Genomic DNA, 17,286 nt, shown 5'->3' on the forward strand with positions numbered 1-17,286 from the left:
TGAAAACAGGTGGAATTTTACATAATGATGACATAGCCACCTAGTGGCCCTTATAAGACCTACCTGGCAGTGATATTATGAGAATTAAATAATAGTATATTTGTAATAACTTCTGCTATTTCATGGAACATATGCACTGACACAAGAGTGGTATATGTTATTTTTTTTCTTGGATTCTTTTCTCTGACTTGAGAAAAATAATTTTAAGAATGCATACTAATTTAGTTTTGAAATAATTAACTGTTTTAAGAAATAGAATAATCTGAGTAAAGAATCAAAGTCCTTAACATTTTTCAATTGAATTATTAATAAAGATTATATTAATGTACAGTATTTTACCCATGCAGGTAAAAGTTGCATTAGCTTTCTTTGCTGCATTAAAATAGGCTATTGCAAATTTAGTAGCAAGATAAATGTAAGATAACATTTGTTATGTTACAGTATCTGTGGATCAGAAGTCTGGACCCAGCTTAGATGGGTTTTCTCCTTCACGATCTCTCCATAATGAACTCACAGTGCCAGCTGGGATGAGTTTTCATGTGGAGGTCAGAGTAGGGAAGGACCTATTTCCAAGCTAACTTAGGTTATTAGTAGAATTCAGTTCCTTGCTCGTGTAGGACCTAGGCCCTCTGATCCTGAAGACTGCCTGAAGTTTCTTGCTACATGAACCTCTCAATAGGTAGTTCATACTATGGTTGTTGCCTCTTCAAGGCCAACAGGAGAAGAAGACTATTTTAGTGAGAAGGCCTTACATAATATAAGACAACCATGGTAGTAACATCCCATCACTTTTGCCACATAATGTTGCTTATAAGGAATTCAGAAATTCTGCCTACTCTAAAAAGGAAGAAATTTTATAAAGGCATGAGTATAAAGAGGTGGAAATTAGTGGGTGTCTGTTCGTTACAGAGGGGTTTGGAGAAAGCTAGTGAAACAGTTCTCTAGCCACTGCTTAGGGCCCTCTGTCAATGGGAATGGGCAGTGGGCTTCTGCAAGCCACATAACTCTACTCAGGTCTCTGGCCCTGATAAACACCCTGTAGTGCAGCAAGTTGTTGCAATTTCATAGGAAAGAAAAGAGGTGTAGAGCTCCTCGAGATCACTTTGCCCAGCAGCCCTAAAGAGACCTTAGAGACTTACGTAAATGCCCTCCAGAGGTAATCTTGCTATAGTTAGTAAGCAAGACTAGCACAGTATAGGGTGACTTATTACAGACCTCATTCTTTAGAGCGCCCTGACAGCGGCTGCTGCCTTGATAACAGCACACAAGCAGCAGCAGCAACCACATCCTTCTGGGCAGTGCCAGAAAGCCTGTGGGAAGCCTAAGCTGAGCTCAAATCAGCCATCCCTGCACGGTTCCCAGAAGTTCTGGCCATAAAACAGCCATCTACCTGGGCCACTGCTCCACTCAGCTCTCCAATCTCTTCCTGCACCCCAGAAAACATGTCTAAATCTTTATAGACAGCCTCTGTGACTCATCTAGGGTGCTTTTCCCCTGCCTCTCTCAGTGGGTCTGGGGGTGAGTTAGAGGGCCTTGTTTTGCCCAGATTTCTCAGCTTGCAGAAATAAACAAAACTGATGGTAGTTTGCATTTCTGTGGGATCGGTGGTGATATCCCTTTTATCATTTTTTATTGCGTCTATTTGATTCTTCTGTCTTTTTTTCTTTACTAGTCTTGCTAACGGTCTATCAATTTTGTTGATCCTTTCAAAAAACCAGCTCCTGGATTCATTAATTTTTTGAAGGGTTTTTTTGGTCTCTATTTCCTTCAGTTCTGCTCTGATTTTAGTTATTTCTTGCCTTCTGCTAGCTTTTGAATGTGTTTGCTCTTGCTTTTCTAGTGCTTTTAATTGTGATGTTAGGGTGTCAATTTTGGATCTTTCCTGCTTTCTCTTGTGGGCATTTAGTGCTATAAATTTCCCTCTACACACTGCCTTGAATGTGTCCCAGAGATTCTGGTATGTTGTGTCTTTGTTCTCGTTGGTTTCAAAAAACATCTTTATTTCTGTCTTCATTTCGTTATGTACCCAGTAGTCTACCATCAGAGAATACTACAAACACCTCTATGGAAATAAACTAGAAAATCTAGAAGAAATGGATAAATTCCTCGACACATACACCCTCCCAAGACTAAACCAGGAAGAAGTTGAATCTCTGAATAGACCAATAACAGGAGCTGAAATTGTGGCAATAATCAATAGCTTACCAACCAAAAAGAGTCCAGGACCAGAAGGATTCACAGCTGAATTCTACCAGAGGTACAAGGAGGAACTGGTACCATTCCTTCTGAAACTATTCCAATCAATAGAAAAAGAGGGAAACCTCCCTAACTCATTTTATGAGGCCAGCATCATGCTGATACCAAAGCCGGGCAGAGACACAACCAAAAAAGAGAATTTTAGACCAATATCCTTGATGAACATTGATGTAAATATCCTCAATAAAATACTGGCAAACCGAATCCAGCAGCACATCAAAAAGCTTATACACCATGACTGAGTGGGCTTCATCCCTGGGATGCAAGGCTGGTTCAATATATGCAAATCAGTAAATGTAATCCAGCATATAAACAGAACCAAAGACAAAAACCACATGATTATCTCAATAGATGCAGAAAAGGCCTTTGACAAAATTCAACAACCTTCATGCTAAAAACTCTCAATAAATTAGGTATTGATGGGTCGTATCTCAAAATAATAAGAGCTATGTATGACAAACCCACAGCCAATATCATACTGAATGGGTAAAAACTGGAAGCATTCCCTTTGAAAACTGGCACAAGACAGGGATGCCCTCTCTCACCACTCCTATTCAACATATTGTTGGAAGTTCTGGTCAGGGCAATTAGGCAGGAAAAGGAAATAAAGGGTATTCAATTAGGAAAAGAGGAAGTCAAATTGTCCCTGTTTGCAGATGACATGATTGTATATCTAGAAAACCCCACTGTCTCAGCCCAAAATCTCCTTAAGCTGATAAGCAACTTCAGTAAAGTCTCAGGATACAAAATCAATGTACAAAAATCACAAGCATTCTTATACACCAACGACAGACAAACAGAGAGCCAAATCATGAGTGAACTCCCATTCACAATTGCTTCAAAGAGAATAAAATACTTAGGAATCCAACTTACAAGGGACATGAAGGACCTCTTCAAGGAGAACTACAAAACACTGCCCAATGAAATAAAAGAGGACACAAACAAATGGAAGAACATTCCATGCTCATGGGTAGGAAGAATCAATATTGTGACAATGGCCATACTGCCCAAAGTAATTTATAGATTCAATGCCATCCCCATCAAGCTACCAATGACTTTCTTCACAGAATTGGAAAAAACTACTTTAAAGTTCATATGGAACCAAAAAAGAGCCCACATCGCCAAGTCTCAATCCTAAGCCAAAAGAACAAAGCTGGAAGCATCACGCTACCTGATTTCAAACTATACTACAAGGCTACAGTAACCAAAACAGCATGGTACTGGTACCAAAACAGAGATATAGACCAATGGAACAGAACAGAGCCCTCAGAAATAACGCCACATATCTGCAACTATCTGATCTTTGACAAACCTGAGAAAAACAAGCAATGGGGAAAGGATTCCCTATTTAATAAATGGTGCTGGGAAAACTGGCTAGACAGATGTAGAAAGCTGAAACTGGATCCCTTCCTTACACCTTATACAAAAATCAATTCAAGATGGATTAAAGACTTAAACGTTAGACCTAAAACCATAAAAACCCTAGAAGAAAACCTAGGCAGTACCATTCAGGACATAGGCATGGGCAAGGACTTCATGTCTAAAACACCAAAAGCAATGGCAACAAAAGCCAAAATTGACAAATGGGATCTAATTAAACTAAAGAGCTTCTGCACAGCAAAAGAAACTACCATCAGAGTGAACAGGCAACCTACAAAATGGGAGAAAATTTTTGCAACCTACTCATCTGACAAAGGGCTAATATCCAGAATCTACAATGAACTCAAACAAATTTACAAGAAAAAAACAAACAACCCCATTAAAAAGTGGGCGAAGGACATGAACAGGCACTTCTCAAAAGAAGACATTTATGCAGCCAAAAAACACATGAAAAAATTGCTCACCATCACTGGCCATCAGAGAAATGCAAATCAAAACCACAATGAGATACCATCTCACACCAGTGAGAATGGCAATCATTAAAAAGTCAGGAAACAACAGGTGCTGGAGAGGATGTGGAGAAACAGGAACACTTTTACACTGTTGGTAAACAGTACTGAAACAGTAGTTTACAGTACTGTTTACAGTAGTAAACAGTACTGAAACAGTAGTTTACGGTACTGAACTGTAAACTAGTTCAACCATTGTGGAAGTCAGTGTGGCGATTCCTCAGGGATCTAGAACTAGAAATACCATTTGACCCAGCCATCCCATTACTGGGTATATACCCAAATGACTATAAATCATGCTGCTATAAAGACACATGCACACATATGTTTATTGCGGCACTATTCACAACAGCAAAGACTTGGAACCAAGCCAAATGTCCAACAATGATAGACTGGATTAAGCAAATGTGGCACATCTACACCATGGAATACTATGCAGCCATAAAAAATGATGAGTTCATGTCCTTTGTAGGGACATGGATGAAATTGGAAATCATCATTCTCAGTAAACTATCGCAAGGACAAAAAACCAAACACCGCATATTCTCACTCATAGGTGGGAATTGAACAACGAAAACACATGGACACAGGAAGGGGAACATCACACTCTGGGGACTGTTGTGGGGTGGGGGGAGGGGGGAGGGATAGCATTAGGTGATATACCTAATGCTAAATGACGAGTTAGTGGGTGCAGCACACCAGCATGGCACATGTATACATATGTAACTAACCTGCACATTGTGCACATGTACCCTAAAATTTAAAGTATAATAATAATAAAAAAAAATAAAAATTGGATTGTTTTCTTTTTACAGAAAAAAAAAAGAATGCCAAAACTGCTAGTCCCCAATCTAGTTATCAGATTCAACTTTGTTTTAAAAATAAATTTTATTGTGTATATTTAAGGTATACAACACGATGTTATAACATATCTATATCTGTAGTATATATATGTTCCACTGTAGTGGAACAAATTAACATATTCATCATCTCACATAGTTATCCATTTTTCCTCATGTAGCGAAAGCAGCTACAATCTACTCATTCAACAAAAATCCTGATACAATATACTGTTATTAACTATAGTGCCCATGTTGTACATTAGGTGTTTTGACTTGTTCATTCTGCATGTTTGCTATTTTGTATCTTTTGACTAATATCTCTATTTCCTCTCTGTGACCCCGACCCTGGTAATCGTTTTATTCTCTATATGTTTGACCCCCCGTTTTTCCAAATTTCACATGTAAGTGAGGTCATGTGGTATTTGTCTCTCTGTGATGGGCTTATTTAATTCAGTATCATCTCCTCCGGGTCCATTTATGTTACGTCAAATGGCAGGATATCCTCCTTTTTTAAGCCTGAACAATATTCGCATTCTACATATACTCCACAGTTTGCTTATTTATCCATCCATCCATTGATTCAGTTTTATCTTCACCCTCTCTCTCTTCAAACTCCTCCAAGATTGGCAAAGTCTGGAACATTTCCTGAATTCCTAAGACTAATTATCCTCATCTCTTGGGAGCTCAGGCAACCTCCAGGGTCAGTTTTACACATAATAATAGTTGTGCCTTGTCTTTTGGGAGGTGGAAGGTTGGGGTTGGCAGAAGTAAGCAAAGAGCTAATGCTGGGCACCCTGAGGGCCTTTACTTAGGTTACTTAAAAGACCACACCGTGGATTCTGGGTGCCCAGAAGTGAAGTATGGAGAGATGCAAGGCCACGGGTGTGCTCTCCAAGAGTCATATGGGTGTTTAAGATATACCTACATACCTATGTACACACTCACACATACACATTCTCAGAATGTGTCTGGGACCAGCTGCCTATCCTCTCACTGCCTCTCTTTCAGGTAAGTGTTCTTGATGAGGGTGGGCTTTATGTTCATATTCTGGTGAGCCTCAGCTGTCCAGCACCCCATTGCCCACTTCATTCTTCATCATCATTGCACCATTCTCATCAATAAGGTTCCCACTCCCTCATATCCTGTATCTGCTGAAAATGTGTATTCTTTAATTTTTGGATGCATAATTCTACTATAAGCTTTTAAGTCATCTTAATTAAAAAAAAATCTGTTGTGTTGAATACATTTCATCTTTTGGTTTCCGAAAGGAGTATATTGCATTTTGTCAGCTCCTCTTTGTATGCCATGCATTTTTGCTGTACATACTTCAAGTTCTGTTCTTTAAGTTGATACATGTTTATTTCTTAATATATTAAAATTTATTTAATATTTTATTAATAATGAATCATTTTGTCCTTAATAAAAACATTTAGCATAAAATATATCCTCTTGGATATGAATGAAGTTATACTTCATTATTGCTACTGTACTATTACAACTATACCCTATGATACATAGCGTCATGATTTCAGAATCATTTGTGTGTATAACATTTCGATCTTTGTTTTCCATGTTGAAGCTCTTTTTTTAAATTGAAGCTCATGTAGCCTCTTTGTTGTTCTCCACAAGTACTTCGGCAGGGTGCCACCATGACTGCTTGCAATGCCTCACAGGGCCACCCTTCTTTCTTCATTCTCCAAGGAATTCCTGGCATGGAGGACAAACACAGATGGATATCTATCCCCTTCTCCTCCATGTATTTCGTTATGGTGCTTGGGAACTGCACCATCCTCCTCACCATCTCCACAGAGCGCTCCCTGCACAAACCCATGTTCCTGCTCCTCTGTCTGTTGGCCCTCACAGACCTGGGCATGTCTACAACCACCATTCCCAAGGTGCTGTGCATTTTCTGGTTTGGCCAGAGTGAGATCAGCTATGAAGGATGCCTGGTTCAGCTGTTCTTCATCCACTCCATCTCTGCCATGCAGTCAGCTGTCCTGATGACCATGGCCTTTGACCACTATGTGGCCATCTGCAAGCCCTTGCGCTATGCCACCATCCTTTCCAATAGTTGCACTGGACTCATTGGCTTAGTGAGTTTGGTGAGAGCTATCCTCTTTATTCTCCCCATGCCCATCCTCCTTCAGCAAATGCCCTATCATGCCAATCGTGTCATCCCCACCACCTCCTGTGAGCACATGGCTGTGGTGAAGATGGTTTGTGTAGATACTACAGTCAACAGGATATATGGCCTGGTGGTGGCCTTGTTGGTTGCTGGCTGGATCTCTCAGCTATTGCTTCATCTTATGTGCTAATCATCCAGGCTATAATGCATCTCTCTTCTAAGGAAGCCCACCACAAAGCAGTCAACACCTGCACCACACACATCTGTGTCATGCTTATTTCTTATACTCCCTCACTTTTCTCTTTTCTCGCTCACCGCTTTGGCCAAGGCATTCCACCCCATGTCCACATCATTCTTGGCAACCTTTACTTCCTTGTACCTCCAATGCTCAGTCCTATAATTTATGGAGTGAAAACTAAGGAGTTCTGGGACAAAGTGACCAAATAGGGTTGCTGGAAAGAAGAACCCACAACCACTGACCATGGTCAGAAACTTGTCTGGTAATCCAGCAGCTGTGAGTATGAGGAAGGAATGTTAAGTAGATGCAATTCCTGGGGGAATCAGCTAGTGGTAGAAATATGTTATGTTGGCAGATTTAGCTGCCAAGATGTTTATCCTTGGTCAGAGAAGCTAAGGGACAGGAGACCTTCTTGATCTCAGTAATTCCAAAGCAAGGAAATTATCCCCACTGTGAAATGAAAATAATGACATCTGCTTTCTATACTTGACAGAGGGGTTGGACAAATTACATGTTATAATGTCTGTAAAAGCATTTTGAACAACACATGCTGAACACACATAAGATGAGGTAGAATGTTTCCATATGGAGAGAACACATGGGCACCCAATGACTTGCCCAGCATCAAATCAATGAGTTGTAGAATGCTACTTACTTTGCCAAGATAAGGCTAAGCTGTGTGTGTAGGTGTGTGTGTGTGTATTTGTGTGTTCAAGGGGAAGGTAAAATGGAGAAGATTGCTTAGGAGGAGTCAAAAAGGACAATGAATGTTCAAGATTGAATTTAGTCACTATGTTATCCTTACTGCAGAAGACTTACACTTGAGCAACAGAACTGGTTCCTTCCTTATAAGCCTAGGGAATATGTACAGAAAACATAATCTGAAATTCCCAGAGAAATTTCAAAGGAAAAGGAGAAAATGGGAAACTCTTACTCTTAGAAGGTGGATATGCATTCTAACAAATTTTATATTTATAAAAATTCCTAGAGTCAACTGTTCTGCTTGTCTCAACTAATTCCAGCATATGACAAGAATCTCTAGCAAAGAGAAAATTCTGAGAATGTTCTGTGAAGGGTCATAGTTATAAAAGTCAGTGTTATATTGGAAGTCTTGGTTACAGAATTCTGCCAGGCCATTTCTCTGGAAATCAAGGAAGAAATCATGAACAAGCACTTGGAGTGGTGTGTAGAGTTCAGATCGTGTGCCAAGATATGTGAATACATTAAGTTCAGGAGATATTGTTTATCACTTCCAGACATTGATTTGGAATATAGTGGCAAATATTTTAAGACTCATGAAGTTTGTAGCCTGAAATATTTTAGGATTTTTCATCATATTGTATAGCTAATATGTAAAGGCAGAATTCAGTGAAAAAGACACCTACTTTAAAAGCCACATGACCACTATTTAAATGAGACTCTTAAAATGTCAGGAAAATAAATGCAACTTTTCCAGAGTGTTGTTCTAGTTATACTAATAATTAAGGCTTGAAGTAAACAAAAAATTTAATAACATAGGCTCAGAAAGGTGGGATATTTCAGAGCTTGAAACAAACAGTCCAACCTTCAGGAGAAAAAAAAAAGAGAGAGAACTAACCAGGAAGTGCCTTTTCTATAAATGGAAGACCAGAGATCAAGGAAAATTTGCAGGAGCATTAATGGCTGAAGAACAGAGTACTGCTTGTCTGAAATAAGTACTAAGCACATATTTAAGCCACTACAAACCTACAAAGAAAAAAAAGTCGTCAGCAAAATGTTGTGCTTAACAATTTTTTATTTTTATTTTTATTTTTTTTTATTTTATTATTATTATACTTTAAGTTTTAGGGTACATGTGCACAATGTGCAGGTTAGTTACATATGTATACATGTGCCATGTTGGTGTGCTGCACCCATCAACTCGTCATTTAGCATTAGGTATATCTCCTAATGCTATCCCTCCCCCCTTCCCCCCACCCCACAACAGTCCCCAGAGTGTGATGTTCCCCTTCCTGTGTCCATGTGTTCTCATTGTTCAATTCCCACCTATGAGTGAGAACATGCGGTGTTTGGTTTTTTGTCCTTGCAATAGTTTACCGAGAAAGATGATTTCCAGCTTCATCCATGTCCCTACAAAGGGCATGAACTCATCATTTTATACTCATAAAAAATTCCATAATTTTTTATAATTTTTGCTTATCTCTTTATTTTGAACTTGTATCTATCAATCTTGTTGAAATCTTTATAGACTAACAAATTCTCTGTAGATTCTCTTATACTTTCTATGCAAATTGTAATACCATTCATGCTTCCTATTTTTTAATTATCTTTTCTTCTTATTGCATGGCTGTGACCTTTGGTACAATACTCAATATGGAAGGAGCAGGGGGATTGCGTACTCCTTTTTATTCTTGCTTTAGAAGCATTTAGAAATGCTTCTAACATTTTTACCATTTATTACACATTTCTAATTTTTTAGTTCAGCAATATCTCATACTACTTGTGTCTCGTATTTTCTTAAAAAGTAATATAGTCAGTCTAAGATTACATACAGATTTTCACTGGGCTTCTGTAGTAACATCATATTATACTTCCATTTTTGCAGTGTCTGATTTGTGTCTTATTTCCATTTCTAGTGCTTATTGCTAACACCCCAAATTCCTTGCAGAATACAATAATGACATAGTAAAATAAATGGAGAAAACACATTGGTTTCTTTATTAGTCAAGATTCAATCACAAACACAAAACCATTAGGAGAGATATATACATACACATACACATTCAAGGGATTGGCTTACATAACTGTGGAGGCTGGCTAGGCAAGTCCAAAGTTCACAGAGTGGACAGTCAGAGAAAGTAAAAATCACGAGCATGCTGGAATCTGCCCAGGCATGGGATGAAGCTGGTTTCTAGAGGTATGAGTCTTTCTTTTTCCAAGGAAGCCCTAAGCCCCTTTTAAGGTCTTTTAACCGATTAAGTCAGGCCCACCCCAGATAATTCACCTAACTTAAAGCCAACTGATTAGGGTATTCTGGTATATCTCCGCAACAACTTTGCAGCAACACCTGTATTCGTGTTTGAATAACTGAGAGTGGTGTGTGTGCAATGCAATGGCTGTTATTTCCCTTCCATCTTAAGTCTCACAAGAGATTATTTCCAGTAGTCCACTTATCTGAAAAGATAATAGAAAGTGAATTCCAGGGAATATAGTTTTGCCTGTGCAAGTTGACACTCCACAGGGCTATTACATTCTCCATAGAATGCATTATTCACAAATTTTCCCAGAAGTTGCTGAGAGGTAGACTTGTTTTGTGGGATGAACAAAAAAATTCCCAGTGGGTTGAAGGCTTTTGGAGGCATCTTTAGCTCTAGAAAGGTAAAATTTTTCAGGTCAAGATTCTAGGAAAGGAAAGTTGCTGCAAGCCTATTCTGCTCTAGATTTTTAACATGACTTATTAAGGATATTTGTGGTAGCCAAATTGTCCAGTAGAACTCATGAAGAGTGCAGACCAGATAGCAGTTTGGGGAGAAAAACTCAATCAAAAAACTTAAAAAAAATTTTTTTTGGGGGTGGTGTTTCTTTAAAGTATGATCTCTTGACCAACAGCATTCCCTTTAATTGGAAATTTGTTAGTAAAGGAAATTTTGAGGTCGTGCTCCAAACTCACTGAATTAGAAACTCTGGGGATGTGGACTAGCAATCTGCTTAACAGGAGCGGTAAGTAGTTTAGAAGTACAAGAACATTTTCAAACCACTGGCTTAGAGAGCCTCTCAGGAGCTAAGATAGAGTATGATCACCAGAATTCAGATCCAGTCCAGGTGTGGGCACTGTTCATGGTAAGGATAGATCTCTTTAGATAGGGTGTGGCTGAAGGAGAAAATAACCAGGGGAGCTTTTGGAAAGAGAATAAGGAGACCGACTTAAGTAAAGATGATAAGGAGTCCAACTGCCATAAACTGTGGAAAAAGACTACAGTTCTACATTGACAATTCTCCAAACTCTCCCTGCATAATGTGGAATCCAGATCATGGCAGGAGCTACTTTTCTGAGAGGTTTAAGACACTCATTCATAACTTGAAGAAGGTCAGGGATGCATGGTGGAGTAAATTACAGTAGTGGTAGGGCTATACCAAATAAATATTTGAGTATTAGAGTATTGGTACCAAGAGTAAGTTAGTCCATAGAAAAATTAGGTTTTAGGTTTAATGCAAATGAGCTCTTTGACAATATAGTTTACTGAAATAAGTACAGTGGACAGGTTTTCAGCAAAGGCCACCAGGAGATATAGGTTTGGTAATGCTTAATGCATGTCTTCTCTGGTGTGCTCAGTTCGTAAGATAATTACTTTATATGGTGAAAAATTGTCTTTAATAAGTCACATCTCCTAGATATCATGTATGGGTACAATTTCCTATTGAGTTTCATTACCATCTTGCTACATCATTCACAGGCAATATAAAAAAATCAGCAGAGCATTTTACAAAGCCAGTCAGCAAGTCTGGGAACATGTGTAGTAAATTCTCTACAGTATTAGAGTCTTAGGAAAAAGTAAACATAGCAGAATGCGCCAGAGATAATCACAGAAAAGAGTGGAGGGGAAAGAAAGCATGTCCTGGAATCCTTTGGGTGGTAGAACTGCCTTCAAGTAACCACAGTATTTGTATCCTCAATGACTCTAAAATGTTAGCTGCCCTTATGGAAATGGTGCCAGTACTGATATGTGGGGAGTTAAAACCAAACCAAAACAACAGGAAAAGAACTCCAAGGGAACAGACTACAAATATGTCTTCCCTGAATCTTTAACAAAAGCCTCTGGCTTCACCTTCACATTCTGATCTGGACTGCATTCAGAAGAGTAGGGCGTGAATGCCCAATTTCCTAGGGAACACAGAGGCTCCCTAGGCAGCTCTAGCCTTAAACTCAGTGCAAGCCAGTACACTCCCAGGGGGCTGTGAAATGTATTTCAGATAGTTGAGGGTGAGCAGAGACTTGTAATGTTCTTGCAATCTTCTGAGGATGCTTCTACACTGTGGTGCCTTCTCTTTTCTGCTCTCCTGGAATCCTGTGAGTTTGGCTAGGAAAAGACTCTGGAAAAGGCATTTCTTAGCCCTCAAGAGAAGTTTTTCTGTGCAAACTGGTTATGGAAAGTTTGCTTGAAAGCATGGAGAATAAGATTTAAAATAAAGATTTAAAGATTTGCTTGAAAGCATGGAGAATATCCAGGAAAGGAAATTTCCCCGAGTAACACCTCTGTAGAGTCTAATTTGGAATTTTAGTTAGCAGGCATCCTGAAACAGAAATTATAGTTTGGCGTTAAGCTGAGTAGTTGGAAAGGGGAACACAGTGGGGAACTACCTGGAAAGGAAGAAGCAAGTGATATGTTAACCAGATGAAAGACATGCGAGGCATTGTGAAGAAAGTTTATGGCATTCACTATAATATTCCTGAAATTACTAACAAGCAGTAATTTCTCATGAAGCATGGAAGGGGGAATTTGTGTGCCTAGTGAGATGGACAGACGCTATAAAGATGAACAGCATGAAACTAGGCAGAGGGAATCAGCAGAACCTTAGATTTCCTTGAGCTTTTTTTGCCCCTAGTATTCTGACATCAGGCACATTAGTCATCACTGTCCAGGTAAAGTCAAAGTACTCTTGTAAAATCGCTTCTTGCCACTGTGGAATGGTAACATTGAGAAGGATTTGACTATGCCCTTTCTTAGAAATTACCAGGTACAGCAGATGGAATGTGAATAAAGGATTGACCAAGATGTGGGCTGAAAAAGCTTGGAATTTTCAGTTTCATAAATAGAATGAAGTCCAAAAGGGTTACCTTCAACATTTTGGGGAAAGGATAGCTGAAGCATCTTATGAAATTTCAGATGAAGATTGAGCGGATATATGTGAAAATATATCTATAGCTTAGTAAAAAGAGTGGAAACGACTAGAGTAATATTAAGTTCAAAAATAATTACTAAGTACAGGGTCCCAAATTAGAATCTATTCCAACTTAAAGGACAAGAAAAAAAAAGTCCAAGATTACCCAGTGAACTATGTTTGTAGTTTGTGTCACCAAACTGATAGTCATGCCTAATTTCTTCTTATACTCCATAAAAGACAGTGTGTATGTATGTGTGTGTGTTTCTTTGTGTGTATGTATGTATTCAGGTATATGTGTATAGCCTTAGCTAGGAGACAATTCTAGTTTATCTAAAGGCTTATTTGAGCCTTTTCTCACGTTCATTTATTTTATTTAATAAGCATTATATATCAGGTATTATTCAAAGCTCTTTAGAAATCTTTAGACATATTAACCCATATAATTCTCTTCTCTATAGGGAATAGATATGATTATTATTGCTATTTTATGGATGATGAAGCTTTCTAAACATGATATAGCCAGTAAGTGTTACTATTCTCTCATTCCTATCTCTGTTCTATCTTGTTCCTCCAGATAATGTGATACTATGTGGAGGTTTCTGACCACAGAGAATGTCCAGCACTCTTGGCCACAACATGGAATCTCCTCATCACACTGATGTTGACCCTTCTTGTCTTCTTCCTCCTGGGCATCCCAGGTCTGGAACAATTTCATTTGTGGCTCTCACTCCCTGTGTGTGGCTTAGGCACAGCCACAATTGTGGGCAATATAACTATTCTGGTTGTTGTTGCCACTGAACCAGTCTTGCACAAGCCTGTGTACCTTTTTCTGTGCATGCTCTCAACCATCGACTTGGCTGCCTCTGTCTCCACAGTTCCCAAGCTACTGGCTATCTTCTGGTGTGGAGCCGGACATATATCTGCCTCTGCCTGCCTGGCACAGATGTTCTTCATTCATGCCTTCTGCATGATGGAGTCCACTGTGCTACTGGCCATGGCCTTTGATCGCTACGTGGCCATCTGCCACCCACTCCGCTATGCCACAATCCTCACTGACACCATCATTGCCCACATAGGGGTGGCAGCTGTAGTGCGAGGCTCCCTGCTCATGCTCCCATGTCCCTTCTTTATTGGGCGTTTGAACTTCTGCCAAAGCCATGTGATCCTACACACGTACTGTACATGGCTGTGGTGAAGCTGGCCTGTGGAGACACCAGGCCTAACCGTGTGTATGGGCTGACAGCTGCACTGTTGGTCACTGGGGTTGACTTGTTTTGCATTGGTCTCTCCTATGCCCTAATTGCACAAGCTGTCCTTCGCCTCTCATCCCATGAAGCTCGGTCCAAGGCCCTAGGGACCTGTGGTTCCCATGTCTGTGTCATCCTCATCTCTTATACACCAGCCCTCTTCTCCTTTTTTACACACCGCTTTGGCCATCACGTTCCAGTCCATATTCACATTCTTTTGGCCAATGTTTATCTGCTTTTGCCACCTGCTCTTAATCCTGTGGTATATGGAGTTAAGACCAAACAGATCCGTAAAAGAGTTGTCAGGGTGTTTCAAAGTGGGCAGGAAATGGGCATCAAGGCATCTGAGTGACCCTGGAGTATAGAGGGACTTAATCCAAAATAAAAAAAAAACCTTTTCAAGATAATCCTCAGTATGTGAGACCAGAAAGAGCTTTTAAGAGGGGGATAATGTCTTCTGCAGAACTTTCTAGACCATTTCCAAGAATGATAAATCACAGAGAAGGGCATTCTTTCTTTCCTTTCAGAGAAGTGTAAACATGGGAAGATTCTTGCAACCTGGGTAACGTGCAGATATTGAAAACAACCCACTGTGTTCTGGAGGGTTTCTACCCTGCTGCAGTTTAGAAGAGTCCCTGCATAGCCATAAGATCTCTTCTCATTTCCTGGCACCCTTCCAATATTCCAGGCATGGATTTCTAATTTCATACCTTAGGATATACCAGCTATCTTACCAGCTGCAAGAATCAGAAGATAGGACAATATAGCCACAGTTAAAGTAGTTAAAGCCGCAAAAAATTTATCATGCTTTTCCATAAACCCTGTATTTCTCCATTAGAGCTTCAAACCAAGAGGAGAAAAAGATCCACCAGCATCCACAATGTTACTTAGTGGCAGAACAAAGCTGTGAAAACTAGAATCCTTTAGGACTTCTATGAATGAGGGCACAAGAGAGGTTAGGAATAACTCTTCATTTCTAGACATTTTCTATTTATCTCACAGGTACACTCCTGTCTCCAGCCTCTCAGGAACTAACCTAAGTCTGAATGACCTTGGATATCATCCCTCACAAGCAGTTTCCAATTATTCTTGTACATACATACAATGGGAGGACCTTTCAGAAGTCATTGACTTATCTCCTGAACCTATAAGAAATGGCCACTTACCCAAACCACTCAGAATGGGAATTCTTAATTATGAAATTAGTCTGTATTTATTAATTCTTCTATTTATTTATAATGAAAAGAAGATTAAGCTTGATTCTAGTAACTCCATGTGGTGATGGAAAGTTCCTAACTATATCCATGAAACTAAGATTGGAAACCAGTTACTGTACATACTGAGCTTTCTGTCCACTCCTCACCAAATAGCTTCAGACAATTTATCAAACACATTCTCTTAACAAATTAGCATTTTCAATTTTGAGTTCGCCAATAGTACACATTTTTTGCTTGTCATCCGCTTATATGCCATCCTACCCTGTTAGGTGGAGGGAACACAAAACTCCCTTGTGGAAGTTCACAGACACTCCTGTCCTGGGAAAGTATCAGTCCTGAGGTAGAAAGCCAATGCCCAGCTCTTCAAAGCTCTGTCTCTGTCAGGAATATAAGTGTTTTATTGGGACACTTCAAATATGTTGGGATAAACAGTGCACAAATAGTGAAACTCAGTGAAGTAGGCTGAGCACTGTCCATTTTTCAGAGAAAAAATAATCACTTTTTATAGGGAGAGTACTAGTATATGGGCTGTCACTGGTTTTAATTTTTTTATTCTAACCCTCAATTTTTTTTATTATACTTTAAGTTCTAGGGTACATGTGCACAACGTGCAGGTTTGTTACATATGTATACATGAGCCATGTTGGTGTGCTGCACCCATTAACTCGTCCTTTACATTAGGTATATCTCCTAATGCCATCCCTCCCCTCACCCCCACCCCACAACAGACCCCGGTGTGTGATGTTCCCCTTCCTGTGTCCATGTATCTAATCCTTAAATTGAGATTTTTTTTTTTTTTTTTTTTTTTGAGGCAGAGTCTCGCTCTGTCACCCAGGCTGGAGTGCAGTGGCATGATCTCAGCTCACTACCAGCTCCGCCTCCCAGGCTCACACCATTCTCCTGCCTCAGCCTCCCGAGTAGCTAGGACTACAGGCACCCGCCAACACACCCGGCTAATTTTTTGTATTTTTTAGTAGAGACGGGGTTTCACCGTGTTAGCCAGGATGGTCTCGATCTCCTGACCTTGTGATCCGCCTGCCTCAGCCTCCCAAAGTGCTGGGATTACAGGCGTGAGCCACCGTGCCCGGCCGAGATATTCTTAATAGATTTTTAAGATTTATATACAATTCTAACACTACAGTTCATCAACAAAATTACTTTTGTGTTCTCCAAATTGACCATTTTTCTAGCACAGAAACCTACAACCCCAACTGTGTAACAATCTTATACTGTATCATGGGTTTCTATACTTTGTAGAACGTTTCTAAAGTGTATTGTAAGCAATATACTTATAAGCACTGCTTGTTCATAACTTCTCACTTTAATGTGAATCTCAATGCTAGATGTCTATGTGTTCACCTTTTATGATTTACAATAATAAGTTTATATCATGATCAACCCCTTATACACCTCCGGCCACTCATGTTTGTAATATTACATTGATTTCAATTCCATAAAAAATGAAATGACAAGGAATAAACTGTCTCCAATTATAATCCTCATATAAACTTTTGATGTGTATAGCCATTATTTCCTCCTTTCTTGCTATATTTATTTATTGCCAATTTCTTTTTCCTCTCAAGAAAGCCTCTTATAATATGCCTTTGGGA

General features: G+C 39.4%; 1 protein-coding gene and 2 pseudogenes across 3 annotated transcripts in view; all 3 read left to right on the forward strand.

The window, feature by feature from the left end:
- Nucleotides 6,637-7,613, forward strand: OR52U1P (olfactory receptor family 52 subfamily U member 1 pseudogene; annotated as a pseudogene).
- The window catches only part of OR52N4 (olfactory receptor family 52 subfamily N member 4), a 29,487-nt gene continuing 26,019 nt past the window's right edge, over nt 13,819-17,286 (forward strand). For both annotated transcript variants that reach the window (XM_017017711.3, XM_017017713.3), the window contains exon 1: nt 13,819-13,910. The gene's annotated coding sequence lies outside the window, so the exon portion shown is untranslated. The remainder of the gene's footprint in view (nt 13,911-17,286) is intronic.
- Nucleotides 13,849-14,811, forward strand: OR52P1 (olfactory receptor family 52 subfamily P member 1 (gene/pseudogene); annotated as a pseudogene). The gene has a single exon (NR_172915.1). The product of NR_172915.1 is annotated as an olfactory receptor family 52 subfamily P member 1 (gene/pseudogene) (transcript).

Source organism: Homo sapiens, chromosome 11 (assembly GCF_000001405.40).
Source record: "Homo sapiens chromosome 11, GRCh38.p14 Primary Assembly".
In the NCBI taxonomy this organism is placed as follows: Eukaryota; Metazoa; Chordata; class Mammalia; order Primates; family Hominidae; genus Homo; species Homo sapiens.